The 24,100-nt window shown below is 40.0% G+C and overlaps 1 annotated feature.

Annotated features, from left to right (window-relative positions):
- Positions 20,198-20,698: an enhancer, noted in NCBI's record as "H3K4me1 hESC enhancer chr15:29029486-29029986 (GRCh37/hg19 assembly coordinates)". NCBI's record gives its function as "activates a minimal SCP1, AML or CMV promoter by ChIP-STARR-seq in naive H9 embryonic stem cells {active_cell/tissue: H9 hESC(naive)}" and the evidence as "EXISTENCE:reporter gene assay evidence [ECO:0000049][PMID:30033119]".

Raw genomic sequence — 24,100 nt, forward strand, 5'->3', positions numbered from 1 at the left:
CTTTGAGTTTGCATATAGTTACAGTAGTACTGAAAAATCCTCGCAATTTAGGTTTTTGTTTTCAGTTTTCTCTGTTTTCTAGTGCATAATGACTTAATAAATATTCATTTAACAAAAATTGAAATCTCAAAGGTACATATAAATAAACAATATAAATAACCATCCTTATTACAGTTAACTTTGTGCTTTAAAAAAAAAAGGCATCCAAAGAAAGACAGACGTATTCATGCAATAAAATCTTAGCAATCCCTGCAATAGTTTAACAGAATTATCAGCCCTCCCATCTTAGTCTGGACAGAATGAAAAAAAAATTAGTTCTCTCGTGTTATTCTTTGAGCTCCAACTAGGAAAAATTACTGAAAACAGCTGGACGTTACAACTGTTTTGGGCAGAGAAGTCACACTGTTCAGGAGGACCCCATGGTAGAAACTGTTTTAAAAAAGTTCTTTTTACTTGAAATTACACAAGAAAGCAGAAAATGACATTGCAAAAAGGAAAAAAGTATAGGCAGGAACATTGTTACAGAAGCCAGGTGACAATGAGAAGTAGAGAGTAGAAAGCAATCAACCCTTTTGACCACTGAGAATGAGGATAGTAGAAATTCAATGGCTCATGGATAGCAATAGTCACTCACATGTCAATAACAGGGATTCTGAAGAGTCAGACTTATGCATACACAGAGCATCTCTACCACATGCATGAATTATGTGTGAGTTTGGTGATAATGAAGAGAGACAAACTGCTGCATCAACTAATATACTCTGGGAGTGAAGAGCAGGATAAAAAAAAAACTGTAGAGACCACTACTCTAGGTCATTTAAGTATTTTAAGGAGAAAAAAATAACATAATAGAAGAAAGTGATAACTATCTGGAGTGGTGGGATGGGTGGCTTCTGACACAGCTCCCATGTTTCTGATTCCACCTCCCGATATCTTGTATTATCTCCCCTTCTTGAGTATGAGCTGGACCTGGTGCCTTGCTGGTAAGAGACAGAATTCAACAAAAGTAATGCGGTGTTACTTCCTTGGTTAGCTAACAAGGAACTATGTCTTGCCCCTTGCTAGCCACCCCCAACTCTTGCTGGCATTCCCTCTTGCCCTCTCGCTTGCTTGCTTTGATAAAGAGAGTTGCCATGTTGTGTGATGCTTTGTGGAGAGACCCACGTGACAAGGAACCAAGGGAGTTTACAGCACAACACCTGGCACAAAACTAAAGCCAACAACTATGTGAGTGAGTCTGCAAATAAATCATTCCCTGTCCAGCCTTAAGATGACTGCAGACTTTTAAAAGAGTGAGAGTCAGAGGCCACAGCTAATCCACATGTGGATTCCCACCAACAAAAATTGAAATAATGTGTGTTTTAAAATGCTAAGTTTGGGGGTGATATGTTACATATAAATAGATAAATAATAAAGATGGTTTGGCATGGAGATAATGACAGAAAGGAATTCGACTATTTTAATAGTCCAATGAAGAGGTATGAAAGATCTGAATTTGGATGGTAGCAGTGTGAATGATGTAAAAGATAAATGTGAGATTCTATAAGGTAAGATTTTATAGGACCTACCAATAATAGGGGTGAGAGGAGGATAGAGAGATGGGAGAGAGAAAGGGAGGGGGAAAGAGAGAAAAGGAGAGGGAGAAGTGGTAAATGAACAAGATTTTTAGTTCAAGTCAGTAGGAAAACCACTGGCAGAGTTGTTTTATTTAAGCATTAACAATTACTTTCCGAGCAACTGTGATGTGTAAGACATTATGTTATCTGTACTAGACACTGAGATGAACCCTCAAAATGGTGATGCCCTCAAAATGGTATAGTGCAAAGTAGAATGTTGTGAAATTTTTCCTAATGGAGAAATTCATCCAATTAGCATTTGAGGAAAGGTATATGTGAGTTGGACTTTGGATAGTAACATACAGAGATTAGCATTAGAAAGGAAGCAAAATATTTCATTAGACATATAAAGAAGTCAATAGTTTATTTTCACTAGATTGCAAGCATATGAAAAAGACAACAGGAAAATGTGTCTCAATTGTCAGCCTAAATTTAACATCTTATTCTGTAGTGAAATCACAGGACAAGTAAATAGATGTCTTGCACTTAGGACAAATTATTTAAGTTTGTTGAAGAAATGAGATGATTGATTTTATTTTTAAGTAATAAGTAATGTGAGAACATCTGCAATCAGTAAGATTTATGTAGATCCAGGCTCAACAAACTACTGCCGATGGGCCAAATCTAGTCTGCAGCTCATTCATGTAAACAAAGTTTCACTGGAATATAGCCGTCCTCATTCATTACGTAATGTCTATGGCTTTGACAGAGACTGTGCCACCTGCAAAGTCAAAAATATTTACTATCTGTCCCTGGACAGGAAACGCTTCTCAATCCCTGGTCTACATCATAAAATGGATTTGAGTGGAGAGAAAGAAAAAAAACTCATTAAAACATATGGGGTGTTACTGCCTTAAACAAGTAGTATACTAACAATAGAAATGGAAAGGAAAAGTTGGAGTGTGCATGTGGGTATGCATCTGTGTGCATTTGTGTGTATGTGATGAAAACTGTTTAAATGCAGGGTACAATATAGAAGAGGAGGCCATCGTGGTGCTTAGATGGCTCTGAATTGACAGTCTCCTCCGTTAATATTTAAGTGCAATTTTGGAGGAATAAGTCTTTCCACTCAACTCTTAAGTGGTTTAATCAACTGGCCATATTTTTTTCCTAATGGTTAGAAAGGATAAGTTACTCAGAAGGAAAAGTAGTACTGATTGAGAAAGAATTATAATGGAAGGTGGGGGGTGATTGCATACTTCTAGGAAAGCTGGAGGGAACAGCTAAAAAACAGTATGATACTGAACACTTGGATGAAAGCATGAGTGAAAGCAGGTGAGAGCAGCCCTAAAAGGACGCCAGTTTGCACCAAAAGTAAACACTGGTTTTCATGCTGCCTCTTGTATATATGTATCAAAAGATACTGGTACTTAATGTATAAATTAGAATATTAACTTTTAAAATATGAATTGAACTTATATGGGGTTTAAAAAAATCAATTATTTAAAAACATCACCAGGTTCCTTTTGTTGTTTAAATTCTCTCCTGATAGAACTAAATAGGGGTCTCTTAAACAGGGTTCAAGAAGCAGAAACATACATAATGGTACTCAGGATTCAATGCATTAAAGATTAATATTCCTTGAATTAGAAGAGCCGAACTAAGTATCCAAACACCAGATATAGGTCTAGAATAGCAGATACATCTAAGTAGGTTTCAACTGTCTAAGGGCACATGCCTGGTGCAGGGACATGAACAAATTGTGAGTAAACAGGGATAAAAGCCCTATGAGGGATGTTTAACATTGAAATGTATAAAGTTTTTATTTAATCACAAAGTTTTCTATATTGGCTAAAATTTTATAATGATAATGAATTATTCATGTGAAAATTAAAAACTGTTTTTTTTGTATTTTTAAAGAAAAAAGCACAAATACACCCATAGAACACTGTGAAATATTATCTTTCACAATGTACACCAGGCCAGGAAATTATTGGGCTAATTTGAGTCTTCAACAAAATTTTACTTTGTGAAGAAATAAGACAATGCTGGAGGGACCAAGGTTTTCATTTGCCTGTGCTCCTTCTGATGCCATCTTTACTCTCCAGGTGAAAGGATGTTTCTGAGATCAATATTCCTCTCCTTTGATAGTTACCTTCTTTTAAAACCTACTGAACACTGACTTACTCAGCTCCACTCTATTCTTCCCCGTTTCCTCTGGGTCCTTTGATAATAGATGCTGGTATCCCTGTCTGTCATTCACTCCTATATGGTTCTCAGGATTTGTTTGCTGTTCCTCCCTCTGTTAACCTGAGCCTTGCGGGCCAAAGTAAATTACTCTCCCAGCACCTTTTATACAGAGTGGTCCATAGTAGTTTTCCTGACACCTATGTTATTACACATTTCTCTCCAAGAACATCTCTAAAGCTTTATGATTTATACATTTGAGTTACCTTAGACCAATTGACCTAAACACAAGATATGCTGTCACATTTTAAGCTGCTTCCTCAGAATATGTTGGTTGAAATCTACTGCCTCTCCCTTGTCCAGGGTTTCTAAATACCCGTAGGGTAGCTTCTCAATAATATATATTACTAATAGCTCAGAATGATTATTATACTAACAAGAACTTTTTACTTTCATTACTGTGTCAGAGGACTCGGAATATCATTAGCAAAACCTGTTTAGAACAGCCATCTTAAATCCTTGTTGAACCAATTCCAGCATGCTTTTAATTTAAGTAATCCTGGCGCCGTGGCTCATGCCTGTAATCCAATCACTTTGGGAGGCCGAGGCAGGCAGATCATGAGGTCAGGAGATCCAGACCTTCCTGGCCAACATGGTGAAACCCCATCTCTACTAAAAATACAAAAATAGTTGGGCATGGTGGCATGTGCCTGTAATCCCAGCTACTCAAGAGGCTGAGGCAGGTGAATCTCTTGAACCCAGGAGGCAGAGGTTGCAGTGAGCTGAGATCGCGCCACTGCACTCCAGCCTGGTGACAGAGTGAGACCCCATCTCAAAAAAAAAAAAAAAAAAAAAAAAGAAATCTTGAGTAGTACATTCCTTCCCAAGATGAGCATGCAAACAAAGATAACATGACTTTTTATTCTATATGTACGTTTGAAAGATCTCTTTAGTCCTTTAAAAACTTCATGAGATGTATAATTTTATAAATATTGAGATGCTTTGGGAAAAATATTGAAGAAAGGCCATTTGATTAGGCATAAAGCACTTAAAGTGAATGCCAAGAAAGTTGCATAGGTCAAAATAGGTCCACAAAAATGTATAGATTAATGAACCTTCCAATGTGAACTGACTGTTTCTCTGAGTGTCTTTTATAATTATGGGTGAAGGCTGAGGATTGGGCCTGGCCCAGATATGGATTAGGGGTAAAATAAGCAGTGGCACACAAAAGATATTTTCCCTGAGGCATATTGACTGAATTATTGTGATATATGCAAGAATGAGGAGTTATTCCAGAAGATTTCAAGAGACAGAATAAAATCTTCAAGAGTATCACAGCAACTGGGAGACAAACTCATTGCAAAGAAGAGAGCCTGCCCCAAAAGCATGGCCAACTCCCTTGTTCAACACATTTCTAAGATTTTGAAGCTGAATAGGGTGAAATGCTAAAGGGCTAAGCCCAATACCCCTGAAATTAAAATTTAATCTCCAACAACATTTTTTGAGACTAATGAGAAGTAGTTCCTACCAGCTCTCAATCAAAAGCTCAAAAGGAACATACTTCAGAAACAGAGATAAGCCAAAGATGCCAGTCTTACTGAAACTAAAACTGAATCCTGACTGCTCCAATATCTGATTGTATTGGTAATGACTTTCTCCCAACACTATCTGCTTAATAGAGAAAAGTGGGAATACATTCTAAAACTACTATTACCAGAATACTTTATTATTCTTTTATACACAATGTCCAGCATGATACAAAAAACGTCTAGATATGTGAAGTGGCAAAAATTGTATTAATCAAAACACATGTGCACAATAAGCGCAGCTCACTGATTCACAGTTCAGAATTTAGCAGACAAATTTAGAATGACCGTTGCTAATATAATAAAAGTAGGCAAACTGGATGAAATGATGGAGATTGCAGCAAAGATTTAAATATCTATAAAAAGTCACACAGATATTCTAAAACAGAAACATAATAATTGAACTTATGTCACTGAATAGGCTTGCTTTAGAATAAATGTAGTAAAACAAGTTAACCTGAAAAGAGATTCATAGAAATAATATAAATTGATCTATAGAAATAATCTCAACTGAAGAGATTTAATAAAGCAGAACAAAAAAGACATAAGGCACTGTCACAACATCTACTATAACTAAACTGGACATAAAGACAAGTGAGAGAGAATGGAGAAGAAGCAATATCGGAAGAGCCGTTGGTCAAAAATTTTGTAAAATTGATAAAGAATATCAACCTACTTGCAAGAAACTTAACAAAACCTAAGGAATATAATACAAATAAAACTTTACCTATGCAGATTATAAGCTGCTGAACCAAAACAAAACTCTCAAAAGTAAGTAAAAGAGCACAAATAAGTATTCCAACAAAAACAATAGAAGCTGGAGACAATGAAATGGCATTTTAACATGCTGAGGGGCAAATTTGCCAGTCTAAAATTTAATAACCAGTGAAAAAGCACATAAAAGTGAAGCGCAGTAAAATATATTCAGACAAGTAATTGTTGAGAGAATGTTTGCCTAGGAGAACTGAACTACAGAAATACTAAGGAAAGTTCTTCAGACTAAGAAAAAATTATCCCAGAGAGAAGCATACAATTAGAGGAAGCAATGAAATTAACTGAAATAAAAGCCTTAAAATATTGGCACAAGAAGTTCTAAAGATCTGAGTAAGTTCTGTATGTATTATAGAAACTACATTTATGATTAACACATTTTACACACACACACACACACAATTCCAACCACATGTGGATTACCTGGTGAATCCTTACCAAAACTTAAGGAACTAATTGAACTAGTCTTACACAAGCATTTTCAGGAAATAATACAAAAGAAAGAACACTTTAATTTTTTTGTGGGAAGCCAGTAATCATTGATACAAAAATCTGAAAGATATTAAAGAAAAGTAATTTATAAAGAATATTCACCATGAAAATAAACCTGAGAAGTAAGGATAAATATAATTAACTTGTCTTTTACAAAGTTTAAATGTTGAATAAAATATATGACAAAGAGTGGGAGTAGCTAAATAGTGTTCAACTGCTCTAAGGTCCTTACATTGTTGGAGAAGTGGAAAAAGTACGAACATACTTCAGAAATAGTAGTCCACAATAGTTGAGAATAAATATTATATCCTCTAGGATAACTAAGGTACTTAAGGTAGTCCACAATAGTCTAGAATAAATATTCTGTAGGATAACTAAAAGTACTAAAAAGGAATTACAAGTATTTTAATAAAATGAAAAATAAATAATTATTCTAAAAATGGAAAAAAGGCCAGGCGAAGTGGCTCCTGCCTGTAATCCCAGCACTTTGGGAGTCCGAGGCGGGTGGATCACAAGGTCAGGAGTTCCAGACCAGCCTGACCAACATGGTGAAACCCCATCTCTACTAAAAAATACAAAAATTAGCCAGGCGTGGTGGCGCATGCCTGTAATCTCAGCTACTCAGGAGGCTGAGGCAGGAGAATCACTTGAACCCAAGAGGCGGAGGCTGCAGTGAGCTGAGATGGCACCACTGCACTCCAGCAGGGGCAACAGAGCGATTAAAAAAAAAAAAGCCAAAAAAGGAAATAAGAATAAAAAAAGATAGTACAAATATAAAAATATTAAATCCAGAATTTGAAAGATTAAATCCAGAATTTTAATACAGAAGATTGTTTCAGAAGATTGTTTCAGAAGATGTGGAATAACTACCACTCTTATAGACTGTTGTGTGAATGTGAATCTGAACAACCATCTTGAAAATTCTTTTGGCGAGATCTACTGAAGTTAAATGTTTGCATACCTTTTGACCCAGCAATTCCACTCCTGGGTATATATACTCAAGATCAATGAGTACTTCAGTCTAACAAAAGATATATATAAGATATTCAATTAGCATTATTTATAGTAGCCCAAAATTAGAAACAGATGAATCATCCAATAACACAGTTATATATTCATAAAATGGAATACCCCTATTAAAATTATAAAGTATGAACTATAGGTATATACAAGAATCTCATAAATTTTGAAAACCTAATATTGAATAAAATCAGCCATATGCAGGAGCATATATACTGCATGATACTATTTTTATGAAGCTCATTAACAGCCTATTAACATTAATTCATTAATGGAATGAATCTATATAAATAGAGGTCAGTATAGGAGTTATCTTTTTTTGGGTTGTAGTTGACTGAGTTGGCAAGAAGAAGGTTTATGGGGTATTTGTAAGATTTTTTTTTTTTTGGAGGTGGAGTCTCTCTCTCGTCACCCAGGCTGGAGTGCAGTGGCACAATCTGGGTTCACTGCAACCTCTGTCTCCTGGGTTCAAGCAATTCTTCTATCTCAGCCTCCCAAGTAGCTGGGATTACAGGTGCCCGCCACCACACCCAGCTAATTTTTGCATTTTTAGTAGAGACGGGGTTTCATCAGGCTGGCCAGGCTGGTCTTGAACTCCTAAACTCAGGTGATCCACCCGCCTCGGCCTCCCAAAGTGCTGGAATTACAGGCATGAGCCACCGCGCCCGGCCTGTAAGATATTTTTTATCTGAGTTGTTCCGTGTATGAAGCTATGTGAAAATTCAATGAGGTGTATACTTAAGATCTGTACACTCTGTTATGTGTAAATTATACATTAATATTTAAAAGAAAAATAAGTAGATTAATAAAGCACAGTTTGGTTTTACAGATACCTATCTATGACCCAACCATTCTACATTTAAGTATATACCCAACAGATATGACTGGGAATTTTTTACACCAAAAGACTTTCATTATAATATTATTTTTATATGCAGACACTCAAAACAGTTCAATTGTCCACCAACAGCAGAATGTAAAAATATTTTATGGATCATTGATAGAGTGGAATAAAATACAGCAATTAAAGAACTGCTGCTACATCTGTGGTGTCACAAATATGCCTGCATTCATAGAAATTTCCTCAGGAAAAATGAATCTATTGTAGAGGAAGTCAGAAAAGTGTTCTATTCGGTAGAAGAAAATTAATGAGGCATGAAAGAGGCTTCTGAGGTGCTCTTGTTTATGGTGGTCACATGACTGAGTCCATATTGAAAGATTATAAAAATTGTACACTTATGATTGATGCACTTTTTAGTCTATAACAATGTATTCATTTGCAGGAGCTACTCTCCAAGGTACCACAAACCGGGTGGCTTAAAACAACTCACATTTATTGTGTCACGGTTTGGGAAGCTAGAAGGCTGAAAACAAGATGTAGTCAAGGTAGTTTCCTCCAGAAGGATATAAGGGAGGCTGTCTGTGTCTCTTGCATCTCTCCCAGGATCTGGTGGTTTGTTGGAAATCACTGGTGTTTCTGAGTTTACAGATGTGTCAGCCCAGTCTTCCATATAGTGTCTGCATATAGTCTTCCCTCTGTGCATGTTCCCCTTGTGTTCAATTTTCCCCTTTTTATAAGAACACTAGTAATATTGGATTAGTACCCACCCTAATGACCCCATTTTAACTAGATAACCTCTGTAAAGACTCTATTTCTATATAAGGTCACATTCTAAAGTATTGGGGGTTAGGGCATTAGCATATATTTTCGGGAAAAACACAGTTCAACCCATAGCAACATATAATTCCATTTTTAAAATCCCAAAATTACATCTAGCCTAAAAAGGAATGAAATTGAAATAAAGATCGCAGAGGCCTGCAGTAAGCCTTGATGATGTAATACCTGTTTATAAACCAAATGTTAGAATGGCTTGAAACAGAATTGAACATTTTTGCGCTATAAGACACATAGGAGAAATTTTAAGTACTTTTTTTGGATGAGACATTAGTCTCAACAAGACTGAATGATTTTCTTTTAAGGTCACACATTTAAATAGTTAACAGGAGAAATAGCGACCAGAATCATAGTCAAATACCCACCTACCCCCTTTCCAAGACAACTAAGGTCTCAAATTGCGCCCATTTTTCTCAAATTATTTCTAGAATGTTTAGCAAAAGAGGCTTTTAATTTGGCATATCTTTGTCTACAGTTTTGTAGTTTATGTAAAGAAAGGTAGACTAAGGGAATTTCATTTTAAAGGTGAGAATCAGAATGACATTTGTGAAGCTATGATGCCTGTGCCATCTGGCATACACGAGGGTGTTGTACTAAATGGGATCAGAATGAGCTCCTTTTGGAAGGAAACCTTTAATAGACTGGGAAACATTAAGGGAATCTTCCCTTTTTATTTTTATTTAATTTTCTTTCTTTCTTTCTTTCTTTCTTTTTTTTTTTTTTTTTTTTTGAGATGGAGTCTCGCTCTGTCACCCAGGCTGGAGTGCAGTGGCGTGATCTCGACTCACTGTAAGCTCCGCCTCCTGGGTTCACGCCTTTCTCCTGTCTCAGCCTCCCGAGTAGCTGGGGCTACAGGCGCCCACCACCACGCCCGGCTAATTTTTTGTATTTTTAGTAGAGATGGGGTTTTACAGTGTTAGCCAGGATGGTCTCGATCTCCTGACCTTGTGATCCGCCCGCCTCAGCCTCCCAAAGTGCTGGGATTACAAGCGAGAGCCACCATGCCCGGCCTTTTATTTTTAATAGAGCATTGGAAAATGAATTCTGCATAGCTAGCTAATGAAGGAAATCCAGAGTCATTGCCAAAACCGAGTTTTAAAGGAATTTGCAATCCTTCACAGTTCATTCAAGGAGGCAATGGAAATTTTGAAGAAGAATTTTTTTAAAATCTTTCTTAAAAGGAGCCCTTACATTGGCATTGTATCACGACTAAAGTCTTGCTCCCTCCCTCTCTCCCTTCTATGCTTTTTGTTTCTCTTTTCTATCTTTCAATGACATCAGTTTCATGGAGATAAATGGTTAAAAGATAATGATTACAACACATACAGTTGAGTGACACAAATCTTGTTGTAGTGTTAGAAATACATCAATACATTGGGATCATAAAGATAAATGGCAAGAAAAAAAATCTAAGTTAATAACAGAAAATGCTGATTCCCACAGTCCGTGTAGAAAATACACGTTTTTTCCTGTCAGTGGAGATAACTGAGACCAGTTAATATTGTCAATTCTGTTCCTTCTGACTGAGCCAGGTGAGGCAAAATTTAGCAGATGACTTGAGGGACAAAACTATGACCTTGGCAACATAAAAATTAATACTGTCTACATTGTTTACTAGGAAATGCATGCAAAATTAATACACTCTTGGTAGTACAGGTTGGTTTCACTTCTATAGTGTGTAGTTACTAGAAAGCTGATTCAACAGATGATAGATTCAACAGACGACATAGAATTGTCTAAAATCCAGCCGGGCGCAGGGCCTCACGCCTGTACTCCCAGCACTTTGGGAGGCCGAGGAGGGCAGATCACAATGTTAGGAGATCGAGACCATCCTGGCTAACATGGTGAAACCCCGTCTCTACTAAAAATACAAAAAAATTAGCCAGGAGTGGTGGTGGGTGTCTGTAGCCCCAGACACTCGGAAGGCTGAGGCAGAAGAATGGCGTGAACCCGGGAAGCGGAGCTTGCAGTAGTGAGCGGAGATCGCGCCACTGCACTCCGGCCTGGGCGACAGTGCGAGACTCCAGCTAAAAAAAAAAAAAAAAAAAAGAATTGCCTGAAATTCATCTTCAATTAGTCCATGGCATGTTTTGGAATTTATTCACTTGTTTGCCTCAGGAACAGTAGCTGTTCAGATTTGTTCTTTGATTTTGGAAATGAGGTTACCGTGCTCTGTAGTGTCAGGAAGATGACGTGGCATAATCAGGCAAACGGCTAGGCATTTTCTCAGCAGTAAATTACCAGTGCCCTTGCTTGCCATAATACCCACAAAAGGCAGAGGCAGTTTCCTGAGGCAATCCAGGCCACAAAGAACTGTACATTTGGGGAAAACGTATCTTCAAATATATATGTTAAAATCTAAAAAATTGGTTAGTATGTATTACTTTTGTGGATATTTAAACATTCCCTATGCATAAAGACCTAGTTAAAGAGGTGCAGGCATTTGGCATGTTAAATAACTCCTTGATGAGAAACCACACTATGAATAATAAATATGACTTAATAAAAATGAAAAATAATGAGATTAGTTTCTATTGAACTATTCTTGCTTAGAATGCCCCTGAATTTCAGTCATAGAAATTCACTTGTACCTGGGTAAGTTACAAGTACTTATTTGTGCTGGTTTCTGTGTCATTGGCAATTAAAATTTTGGTAAGTTGAATAAAAGATCTTTCTAAAAAGGGAGTTCTTTTTTTTTTCTTTTTTGAGGGGGACGGAGTCTCGCTCTGTCGCCCAGGCTGGAGTGCAGTGGCGCGATCTCGGCTCACCGCAAACTCCACCTCCCGGGTCCATGCCATTCTCCTGCCTCAGCCTCCCGAGTAGCTGGGACTACCGGCGCCCGCCACCACGCCCGGCTAATTTTTTTTTGTATTTTTAGTAGAGACTGGGTTTCACCGTGTTAGCCAGGATGGTCTCCATCTTCTGACCTCGTGATCCGCCCTCCTCCGCCTTCCAACGTGCTGGGATTACAGGTGTGAGCCACCGCGCCCGGCCAAAAGGGAGTTCTTACACTGGCAATGTATCATGATTAACGTTTTCCTCCCTCTTTCTCTCCCTCCCACATATGTATTTTCGTGTCAGTATATGTATATGTGATTTGTGCCATTTGTGTGTGTGTAGGTAAATGAAAGTGGCATCAAGAAAATCTCACATTAAAAAAATTTGAGATAGTACAATTCTTATGCATCATATGTTGCATAATGTTTGACTATTAAGAAATTTGCATCACACGTCTACTTATTTCATTAAACATGTTACAGGCAATTAATTTACTTACACCCTCCATTTCTTTTTTCCCACTCTCTGGGTCTCCTGCTGCAGGGTCATTATATGTTCCACTCACAAAATGTCCTTGTTTTTCCCTTACTCCTGTCATTGATCTTCTGAATCTTTCTGGTGAATTTAGCATGGATGTTTTGATAGAAAGCTCTGGCATTAACTCTGGAGTTGTTTTGCAAGGAAGATTGTTCTCTTTTTCACCATTTTTTTTTTAGGTCCTTGAAGTGTTTTCACATAGATATTTCACAAGAGCCATTTCAGAACTGAGAACATTCGGCGTGCACTTTTCCTCTTTTGGTCCCACAGTTTTTATGAGTCCTACTTGAAATTATGTTTGCTCCCGTTTCAATTGTAATATTGCACTTACTCATTAGTTTTTAGTTTGAACTCTCCTGGGAGGTCTAATGTAGAGTTTGGACAAAGACACAGATTCATAATAAACCTACCCAGTCAATTTGGTATAAAGGCTTAGAAGGTGGAACTGGCCACATTTTGAATTGGAGGTAAGTATCAGGAATGGTAATGGAGAGACATACAGGATTTTCTTATGGGAACAAGAAACAACCTCTGGGCAGTATTAGAGCCCAGAGAGTGAAAAGCCTCTTCTAACTTCAATATTCTATGTACAAATTTACAAGACTTTTTTTTTTCTTTTTTTTTGAGACGGAGTCTCACTCAGTATCCCAGGCCGGAGTGCAATGGTGCGATCTCAGCTCACTGCAAGCTCCGCCTCCCGGGTTCACGCCATTCTCCTGCCTCAGCCTCGCGAGTAGCTGGGACTACAGGCGCCTGCCACACCCGGCTAATTTTTGTATTTTTAGTAGAGACTGGGTTTCACCGTGTTAGCCAGGATGGTCTCCATCTCCTGACCTCGTGAGCCACCGCGCCCGGCTGAGACTTTTAATTGACAGACTGCATTGCATAAGCCAAAGGCCAACAGAGAGGTGACCTTTCAAATTACTGGCACAACAGGAGCCGAGATCAGAAAGCTCCAACTTAATGCAAACATCGACAAGAAATCCGACAGAAATGACTTCTGTGTCTGGTCAACTTAACATAACATGACATATTGTCAAGCGCATTTTGCTTTTTAGGTAGAATTGTCTATAACGATTTAACTGCTTTAGAAAATATAAATGTGAAGATTTGTGGTATTCGGGTTTATATATAAGATATTTCTACATTTAAAAGAGACAGAGTGGAAAAGCTTGATATAAGATTTGTAAAATATGTTTGTAATAATGCTAATGGAAGAGGTGAGAGTTGGGTGGGGTGGGGTGTAGATGGGAACATGGTTTGGGGATTGGGGAAAGGGAAGTCATGCTGTTAATAAAATAGTGAGGCATGTTGTATAAAGTGTGTTTTATGTCTCAATTGAAATGTTATAGAGAGAAATTTAAAATAGATCATGATTGGTTTTGAATCTGATTTCTAATTTTAAAATGTTATGAGCTTTTGTTGCTTTCCTATTTCATACACATTTCTTTATGGGTTTCACTTAGACTGCATGAAATTGCAGATGCCAATTACCTTTTAATAAAATTAAATTCACATATATGTATAATTTGCATGTATATATTCACGGAATTTTTTATTCTATACGTGATATATTATTTTAAAATGGTTTATCAATGACATAACGTATAATTTTTCTATACTTTCAGTTTTCTGGTTTGGATTTTTTCTGGCAACACTAATTTTCACCTACCTATACTCATTGATAGTATAAAGTTGTACAAGTGCATATTTGACCATGATTACAGTTGAATAGATGACTGGAGGTACATCTATGATGACTAATACTTTCTAAACACATATTTACCTCTCATATATCTGTGTAAATGATTGTAAGAGGAAGGGGAAAATAGAGATGTATCATTAGGTATACTGTCTTAAAGCACATTCAGCTGCTCTCATGTTTGGAGAATTTTGAATGTGATGAATGTTTCTCTTTCACCGCTAACAGGTTGTGTGTGTGAGCCAGATTTTATTGCAAGTGTTTGAAAGACTATTGCAAATATCGGATATTGCCAGACAGTTGGTAAAAAGCAAATTGAGTCTATTGAGAAATTAATTCACCAGCTGAAGGAAGCACATTTGCCTTACAGTCATCAGATATTCTACCCACCAGACTCATCTCCGAGATAGCATCCTAATGAGCTTCCTAAACCAACTAAACATGAGCAGGAAGCATCAGTCGTCAAAACTGACTCTTTTCAGCCAATCAGCTGACTGCACAAACTGTATGGCATTGAGGAAAGGAAGAACATTCTGAAAGTTTTTTTTTTTCATTCTGCCCTCACTTTGTTGGTTTCTCAGTTTTACAGATGCAGTGTCATGCGCAGAACCCTGTAAATGAGCATAGTTCATTCAAGTATATAAAGTGCTTTCGTGTATTATTATTCAGTGGAATAAAATGAATGTTAACAGGCTTAAGTGATTTTCCTAAAGGCACACAATTAATGTATGGCTGGAATTCAAAATCGGGTCTTTTCCTCTGTTCTGATTGTTCTATAAATAGGGGTGTAGTGATTGATTTTCTACCCACCATGACAGGGAATAGGTTCAAAACTTAAAACCCTGTTCATTTTATAATTAGGTAGACTCAAATGACAGGTCAAGGCAGGGAGGGGAGCCAGTCATTTTTATTCCCATATGGGTTTGCTCCTTCAAAGACAGGATTGGGGTAGCAGGGTCAGTTCCTACAGGTTATAACGATCTTAATGATAAAGTTAACTAACCATAACTGAATAGTCATAATGTGCTAGCACTTTTCATAATGTATCCCAAATAATACTCACAAAACCTTCCAAATAAATGTTACCTTTTTGTTATCTTTGTTTTATTTTGTTTGAGACAGGGTTTCAGTCTGCTGCCCAGGCTTTAGTGCAGTGATGCAATCATGGTTCACTGCAGCGTCAAACTCCTGGGCTCAAGCAATCCTCCCACCTCAGCCTCCCAAGAAGCTAAGACTACAGGCATGCACCACCACTCCCAGCTCCAAATAAATATTCTTATCCCATTTTACTGATGCAGAAAAACGTATGGCCCAGAGAAGTAATGTTAAGTTTATTGGGGGATTTAAGTTGTAAAAAATTATTTTATCGAACCCTAATGTAAACTATGGACTCTGGGTGATAGTGATGCGTCAGTGTAGGTTCATCGATTATAGCAAATGCATCATTCTGGTGCAGGATGTTGACAGTGGGGGAAGCTGTGTGTGTAAGGGAGTAGGGAGTCTAGGGGAACTCTTCTACTTTCCACTCAATTTTGCTGTGAGTCTAAAACTACTCTAAAAAATGAAGCTTATTAATCAAAAAAAATTCTTATATTTTATGAATATATGGGACAGCTATTCATGTATGTGGTAAAAAGAGATTTGTTACAATACTCGGCAGGAGTGTGTCTAATATGACTGATATTCATGTGTCACTTATAAAAACTGGCTTCATAATCTGTAGATTCATTTCATTTGTGTATGTTCGCTTAAGGGCGCACACATGGAAACACTTTGGTGTTATTAAAGGTCTGTTGGGAGGGCTCCTCTTTGGTGGAAGCTATGTCTATTTCTTAAAAGTGATTTAAGAGTAAGATGTGAAATAGCACTTGCCCCCGAGGATGGAGCCAACAGAGCATAGGGGAGTTATGTGATGCTATCTCTGAGAGACTGGAGAGAGGAATATAAAAAGCTTATTCCTTAAAAAAGAATAGGGGAGGACTTCCTTACCTGATATCTCAGATTATGAAGCTACAGTTCTCTCCCTGCTTTAGGGAAAAATAATAATAACATACTTTTTGCAAAAATCAATTACTGAACATATTCCTATATTTTAGATTTATAATGAAGCATTTTTGTACATATTCATTAAAAAAGAGTAATTAAAATATTTTTCTCTGGTTTATAGTAACTAGGATGGCAACACAGATATATCTTGGAAGTATTTCTTGGGATGATTCTTCAACATAAAACTATTCTTAAAAACTTCTTAGAAGTCTCCAGGTACTCAGGAATAAGGTCATTTTAAATTATTCCTTATTGACCATAAGAAAAATAATTAGGCAAGACCACAAAACTAAATGTTTAGACTGTTTCTCCTGTTTCCTGATTTTCAGGTTATTTTTTTATCCCAATTTTATTTTGCTGTATGGTCATACATTTCATCTTTGAAATAAAGTATATAATAATCACTTTTTTTTTTTTTTTTGAGACAGAGTCTCGCTCTGTCGCCCAGGCTGGAGTGCAGTGGCACGATCTCCGCTCACTGCAAGCTCCGCCTCCCGGGTTCATGCCATTCTCCTGCCTCAGCCTCCCCAGTAGCTGGGACTACAGGCGCCTGCCACCATGTCCGGCTAATTTTTTGTATTTTTTTTTTTTTTTTTTTTAGTAGAGACGGGGTTTCACCGTGTTAGCCAGGATGGCCTCGATCTCCTGACCTCGTGATTTTCAAAGCTGTTCGAGGGCATTTATCAGGCTTTTAACTCTAGGTACTCTTTCCCGCAGTGTGACGGCCAAGAGAAGGGATCCTGGGCTCTCTTCCCTGGCCCCAGGACGGGAATTCAGGGGGAAAATTCACCTACTCTTATCCCACAAAAGAAAACTTATTCATCAGTTGTCAAGCTAAGGAGCTTCAGAGTCCATAAAGAGGGAAATTGCTAAGAGCTTATCAGTAGTGTCCACCCCGCATCCCCACCTGGGGTCACATGGAGAATGATGGTGGGGGCACCGATCTTGTCCTGCTTCAGGTGAAAAGCAGGGGTGTGGGGGGGTTTCATTGTGAAGGGCTCCTTTGTTAAAATTCCTTCCAATTCCAGGAAAAACATGCACTCCAAAAGCCATTATCTCTTTTACTTTGTACTAGGGGACTTCCAGGAAAGAGAGAGAGGAGAAAGAAGAGGGCAAAACAACTGCAGTGAATTTAGTCACCTCTCCAATTGCCTTTCTTGTTGCAGAATATTTCACATTCCAGGAATTTCCTTCTTGACCTCTGGACTGTTGATACACCCAAGATCTTAATATGCTTTCAATCATAGGTTAAAGACATCAAGCGCCAGATCGCTTGGGCCTAGGAGTTCCAGACCGGCCTGGACAGAATAGTGAAACCCAGTCACATTTTTTTTTTAAGGGGGAGATTTGCTCTTGTTGCCCAGGCTGGAGTGCAGTGGCGAGGTCTCGGCTTGTGGGACCTCTGCCTCCCGGGTTTGGATGGTTCTCCTGCCACAGCCTCCCGAGTGGCTGGGATTGTGTGAGCCACCATGCCCAACTAATTCCCTAACTGTGCAACTGCAAGGTCACTAAACAAACTCGTCACAAAACATATTTTTCCTTAAATAGTAAAAAATAATATAATGTATGTTTCAATTAAATAAGTATCTTTGTTTCTCGCTTCTATAATATGCTTCTCCCTGCACAGATCTCCCCCTTCGCCCCACATAATGCTTGAAAGGTAACTCTTGGTTCAGTACTCAATCCTTTAAATGTTAATCCGACTGGGCTGGTGCACCTAAATAATTAATAAATGTCCTCCTAAACCCCATGAGTCTATCTAATTCCTTAAAAATCCCTCTACAGGACTGCAGGTGTGAGCCACCGCACCCCGCCCAATTTATTAATCAGAGAGGAATAGATGGGCCTGGCTTGGTGGCTTGCGCTTGTGATCCAAGGACTTTGGATGGCAGAGCACTGGGGATCATTTGAGCCTAGGAGATCCAGACAGGCCTGGGCAACATGGTGAAACTCGGTCTCTTTTTTTTTTTTTGAGGCGGAGTTTCGCTCTTGTTGCCCAGGCTGGAGTGCAGTGGTGCAGTCTCGGCTCCCCGCCGCCTCCGCCTCTTGGGTTTGGGTGGTTCTTCTGCCTCAACCTCCCTAATGGCTGAGATTGCAGGTGTGAGCCACCATGCCTAATTTTCTTTTTTCTTTTTTTTTTTTTTTGGTACACACAGGGTTTCTACCTGTTGGTCAGGCTGGTCTCAAACTCAGGACCTCAGGTTATCCGCCCGCCTTGGCTTCCGGGGGTGCTGGGATTGCAGGCGTGAGCCAGCACGCAAAGCCCAACTAATTAATCAGAAAGGAATAGATCGGCCTGGCGTGGTGGCTCACGCTTGTGGTCCCAGGACGTCGGACGGCCGAGCGCGGGGGATCGATCACTTGAGCCTAGGAGTTCCACACCGGCCTGGGCAACATGGTGAAACCCGGTCTCTCTTCTCTTTTTTTTTTGGTACAGACAGGGTTTCTCCATGTTCATCAGGCTGGTCTCAAACTCCCGACCTCAGGTTATCCGCCCGCCTCCTGGGCCTCCGGGGGTGCTGGGATTGCAGGCGTGAGCCAGCGCGCCCAGCCCAGTTTATTAATCAGAAAGGAATAGATCGGCCTTGCATGGTGGCTCACGCTTATGATCCCAGGAATTTGGACGGCTGAGCGCGGCGGATCGCTTGAGCGTAGGAGTTCGTTCTATACTTGCCTGGGCAACATGGTGAAACCCGGTCACTTTTTGTTTGTTTTGAGGCGGAGATTCGCTTTTGTTGCCCAGGCTGGAGTGCAGTGGTGAGGTCTTGGCTCAACGGGCCTCCGCCTCCCGGGTTTGGGTGGTTCTCCTGCCACAGCCTCCCGAGTGGCTGGGATTGCACGCGTGAGCCACCATGCCCAGCTCATTTTGTTTTTTGTTCGTTTGTTTTTGTTGTTGGAGATGGGGTTTCTCCATGTTCATAAGGCTGGTCTCAAACTCCAACCTCAGGTTATCCGCCCGCCTCGGGCGTCCGGAGGTGCTGGGATTGCAGGCTTGAGCCAGCGCCCAAGGCCCAATTTATAAATCACAAAGGAATAGCGTGGGGGATCGCTTGAGCCTAGGAGTTCCAGACAGGCCGGGGCAACATGGTGAAACCCGGTCTTTTTTTTTTTTTGAGGCAGTTTCACTCTTGTTGCCCGGTTGGAGTGCAGTGGCGCGGTCTCGGCTCCCGGCGGCCTCCGCCTATTGGGTTTGGGTTGTTCTCCTGCCTCAGCCTCCGGAGCGGCTGGGATTACAGGCGTGAGCCACCATGCCCGGCTAATTTTTTTTTTTTTTTTTTTGGTATAGACGGGGTTTCTCCCTTCGTCAGGGTAGTCTCAAACTCCTGACCTCAGGTTACCCGCCTGCTTCGGCCTCCCGGGGTGCTGGGATTGCAGGCGTGAGCCACCATGCCCAGCTTTTTATTTTTTTTCTTTTTTGGTAGAGACGGGTTTCTCCATGTTGGTCAGGCTGGTCTCAAACTCCCGACCTCAGGTGGTCCGCCCGCCTCCGCCTCCCAGGGTGCTGGGATTGCAGGAGGGAGCCACCGCGCCGGGCCCAATTTATTAATCAGAAAGGAACAGATGGGCCTGGCGTGGTGGCTCACCCTTGTGATCCCGGGACTTCAGATGGCCGAGCGCGGCGGATCGCTTGAGCCTAGGAGTTCCAGGCCGGCTGGGGCAACATGGTGAAACCCAGTCCCTCTTTTTTTTTTTTTTTTTTTGATAGGGAGTTTCGCTCTTGTTGCCCAGGCTAGAGTGCAGTGGCAGGGTCTCGGCTCCCCGCAGCCTCGGCCTCCCAGGTTTGGGTGGTTCTCCTGCCTCAGCCTCCCGAGTGGCTGGGATTGCAGGCATGAGCCACCGTGCCCTGCTAATTTTGTATTTTGTATTTTTTTTTTTTTTTTTGGTAGAGATGGGGTTTTCTCCATGTTGGTCAGGCTGGCCTCAATCTGACCTCAGGTTATCCGACCGCCTCGGCCTCCCTGGGTGTTAGGATCGCAGGCGTTAACCACCACGCCCAGCCCAATTTTTAATCAGACAGGAATAGATCGGCCTGGTGTCATGGCTCGCGCTTGTGATCCCAGGACTTTGGACGGCTGAGCGCGGTGAATCGCTTGAGCCTAGGAGATCCAGACCCGCCTGGGCAACATGGTGAAACCCGTTTTTGTTTTTGTTTTGTTTTCGAGGCGGAGTTTCCCTCTTGTTGCCCAGGCTGGAGTGCAGTGGCGTGGTCTCGGCTTCCCGGGCCTCCGCCTCCCGGGTTTGGGTGATTCTCCTGCTTCAGCCTCCTGAGTGGCTGGGATTGCAGGCGTGAGCCACCATGCCCGGCTACTTTTTTATTATTTATTTATTTTGGTTGAGATGGGGTTTCTCCATGTTGGTCAGGCTGGTCTCCAGCTCCTAACCTCGGGTGATCCGCCGGCCTCGGCCTTCCGGGGTGCTGCGATTGCAGGCCTGAGTCACTGCGCCTGGCCCGAAACCCAGTCCCTTAATTGAAAAACAAAACAAAAACCACAAAGATTAGCGGGGCCTGGTGGGCCCGGCGGGTAGTCCCAGCTACTCTGAAGGCTGATGTAGGAGGATTGCTTGAGCCGGAGAGGGGTGGGGGTGAGGTGGCAGTGAGCCATGTTGGCGCTGCTGCAGTCCAAACTGGGCGATAGAGCGGGACTGTGTCTCAGGAAAACAGGAAAAAAAAAAAAGAAGAAAAAGAAAGTACATAAAATTGCTAAATCAAGGAACAGCTTGACAGTATATTATTGAGAGAAATAGAGGCAAAGGCGAGCAGACACCAATGTTCACTTAGTGGAACTGCAGTTGTCCCCAGACAGGAGGCTGCTACTTTTCCAAAAGAAATCTATTATTGACAAAAAAAAAAAAAAAGGGGGTTTGTTACAATATACAAATAGCTAAACTTTATATAGCCACGACCCTCTTGCAGCACTGCTCTAAGCCTTTTCCTGCTCTGAAATAGCTACTATTGTTACCTCCATTGTAGAGAATACAGATGCCAGAGGTTGTTGTGGAAGGACCATGGAAACTGACTAGGAAATTGACTTGTAAGTTTAGGACTTAAAGGTTCTTCCTGTTTTGCTCCTTACATTGCCACATTTTAGTTAACATACCTCCTAAAATACTGGTCCTTTCTATATTTGGAGGGACTCGTCTTGCAGTTTGAAGTTTTTTCTTGCACTAAGCATTTGGTCAGAAGATCATGTGCGTTTTATGTCAGTTTAAGTTTAGACATTGTTCAGTAAGGAATGTAAATATGAGCAAACAGTTACCTGATTAAATAGAAAACCTAGAAGAAAAATCACCTATGAGAAAGTCAAGAAAATGTGAACTCTGGATTTGTGGCTATTTTCAGAATATTAATTTTTTTGGTATTTAATGGCATTGTGAATATATTTATTTTTAAAAATTCCTTGTCTTCTGCAGATACATATACGGTAATTAAAAAATGATATGATGTATAGATTTTACTTCAAAATAATTCAGAGGAAGAAGGAATGCATATAAATGAAGTGGGAATATAAATGAAACAAAACTGGCTGTGGCCAGGTGTGGTGGCTCACGCCTGTAATCCCAGCACTTTGGGAGACTGAGGCAGGTGGATCACCTGAGGTCAGGAGTTCAAGACCAGCCTGGCCAACGTGGTGAAACATCATCTCTACTAAAAATACAACAGTTAGCCGGATGTGGTGCCGGGTGCCTGTAATCCCAGCTACTTGGGAGGCTGAGGCAGGAGAATCGCTTGAACCTGAGAGGCAGAATTTGCAGTGAGCCAAGATCATGACACTGCACTCCAGCCTGGGCGACCACAGCAAAATCCCACCTTTAAAAACAAACAACAAAAAACCAACAAAAACAAAAAACTGTCCATGCCATGAATGAAAAATTGTTGATGATGTGTATATGTAGGGCAGTTACATTATTTTTCTCAACTTTTTTTACATCTGAAACTTTTTAATGAACACATGCACACGTCCCTTGATAACTGGGGCTGCTTCCCCATTACTCTCTCAATAGCCCTTCTGATTTTCACTTCATCTTCATTCTTAGAGACTCTGGATTTTTTATTTTTTTTGGCAAGTTCAAGTATGTCTTGATCTATGCAAGGACTAGCCAGCATGTCTACCTACTCAGCCATATTATCAGAAACAGAAAAAGTGTCCAGATTCTTGTCTTTTCCTGTTAAGATTTTTTAAATTCCAAGAACAGTCACCTTCTACCAGACACTCTGATGTTGGAAGACAAAGCATATTTCGTAAGTGGCATGATTTCTGTGCTCAAGTTTAGAACAAAGCCACAGATTTCAACATCTCAAAAATAACTTACTGGACTCACCAAATTTAGAAAGATGGAGATTATTTTAAAAAAAGAAAACCTTAATTTACTATGTGACCTCTAAGTATCTCAGCTGAAAATTGTAAAGATAGGTAAATCAAAAGATGCAGATAATCATGCACTTAATGAAGCGCTAAATCAAAGTATTTTTGGCATATGTGAGTTTCATTTTATCACATTTTTTACTGGTACTATAGCTATTTGCAAGTACATATAGAACTACAGTGTTACATATAAACTACCAAAAAGCAACTTTTTAAAAAAATTTTATTATTCTTATACTTTAAGTTTTAGGGTAGATGTGCACAAAGTACAGGTTAGTTCCATATGTATACATGTGCCATGTTGGTGTGCTGCACCCATTCACTTGTCATTTAGCATTAGGTATACCTCCTAATGCTATCCCTCCCCCTCCCCCCACCCCACAACAGTCCCCGGTGTGTGATGTTCCCCTTCCTGTGTCTATGTGTTCTCATTCTTCAATTCCCACCTATGAGTGAGAACATGCGGTGTTTGTTTTTTTGTCCTTGCGATAGTTTGCTGAGAATGATGGTTTCCAGTTTCATCCATGTCCCTACAAAGGACGTGAACTCATCATTTTTTTATGGCTGCATAGCATTCGTTGGTGTATATATGCCACCTTTTCTTAATCCAGTCTATCATTGTTAGACATTTGGGTTGGTTCCAAGTCTTTGCTATTGTGAATAATGCCGCAATAAACATATGTGTGCATGTGTCTTTATAGCAGCATGATTTATAGTCCTTTGGGTATATACCCAGTAATGGGATGGCTGGGTCAAATGGTATTTCTAGTTCTAGATCCCTGAGGATCTAGACACACTGACTTCCACAGTGGTTGAACTAGTTTACAGTCCCACCAACAGTGTAAAAGTGTTCCTATTTCTCCACATCCTCTCCAGCACCTGTTGTTTCCTGACTTTTTAATGATCGCCATTCTAACTGGTGTGAGATGGTATCTCATTGTGGTTTTGATTTGCATTTCTCTGATGGCCAGTGATGATGAGCATTTCTTCATGTGCTTTTTGGCTGCATAAATGTCTTCTTTTGAGAAGTGTCTGTTCATATCCTTTGCCCACTTTTTGATGGGGTTGCTTGTATTTTTCTTGTAAATTTGTTGGAGTTCATTGTAGATTCTGGATATTAGTCCTTTGTGAGATGAGTAGGTTGCGAAAATTTTCTCCCATTTTGTCAAAAAACAGCTTTTTAAGAAATGAGACTAATCTAGCAACTTTATTGAGAGGACGTGAAGTGTTTGGTTAGGAATGGTGCAATTGGTGGTGGTTGTGGACATGTGAGATGTAAGATGCCTCAACTTCCAATGTTGTTCAGAAGCAATCCAGCTTTCTGAATTATTCTTATGAATTCTGGATTTGAAACAGTAACTTCCCAAATGGCAGGGGCTTTCAGC

The sequence above is a fragment of the Homo sapiens genome, chromosome 15, assembly GCF_000001405.40.
Source record: "Homo sapiens chromosome 15, GRCh38.p14 Primary Assembly".
In the NCBI taxonomy this organism is placed as follows: domain Eukaryota; kingdom Metazoa; phylum Chordata; class Mammalia; order Primates; family Hominidae; genus Homo; species Homo sapiens.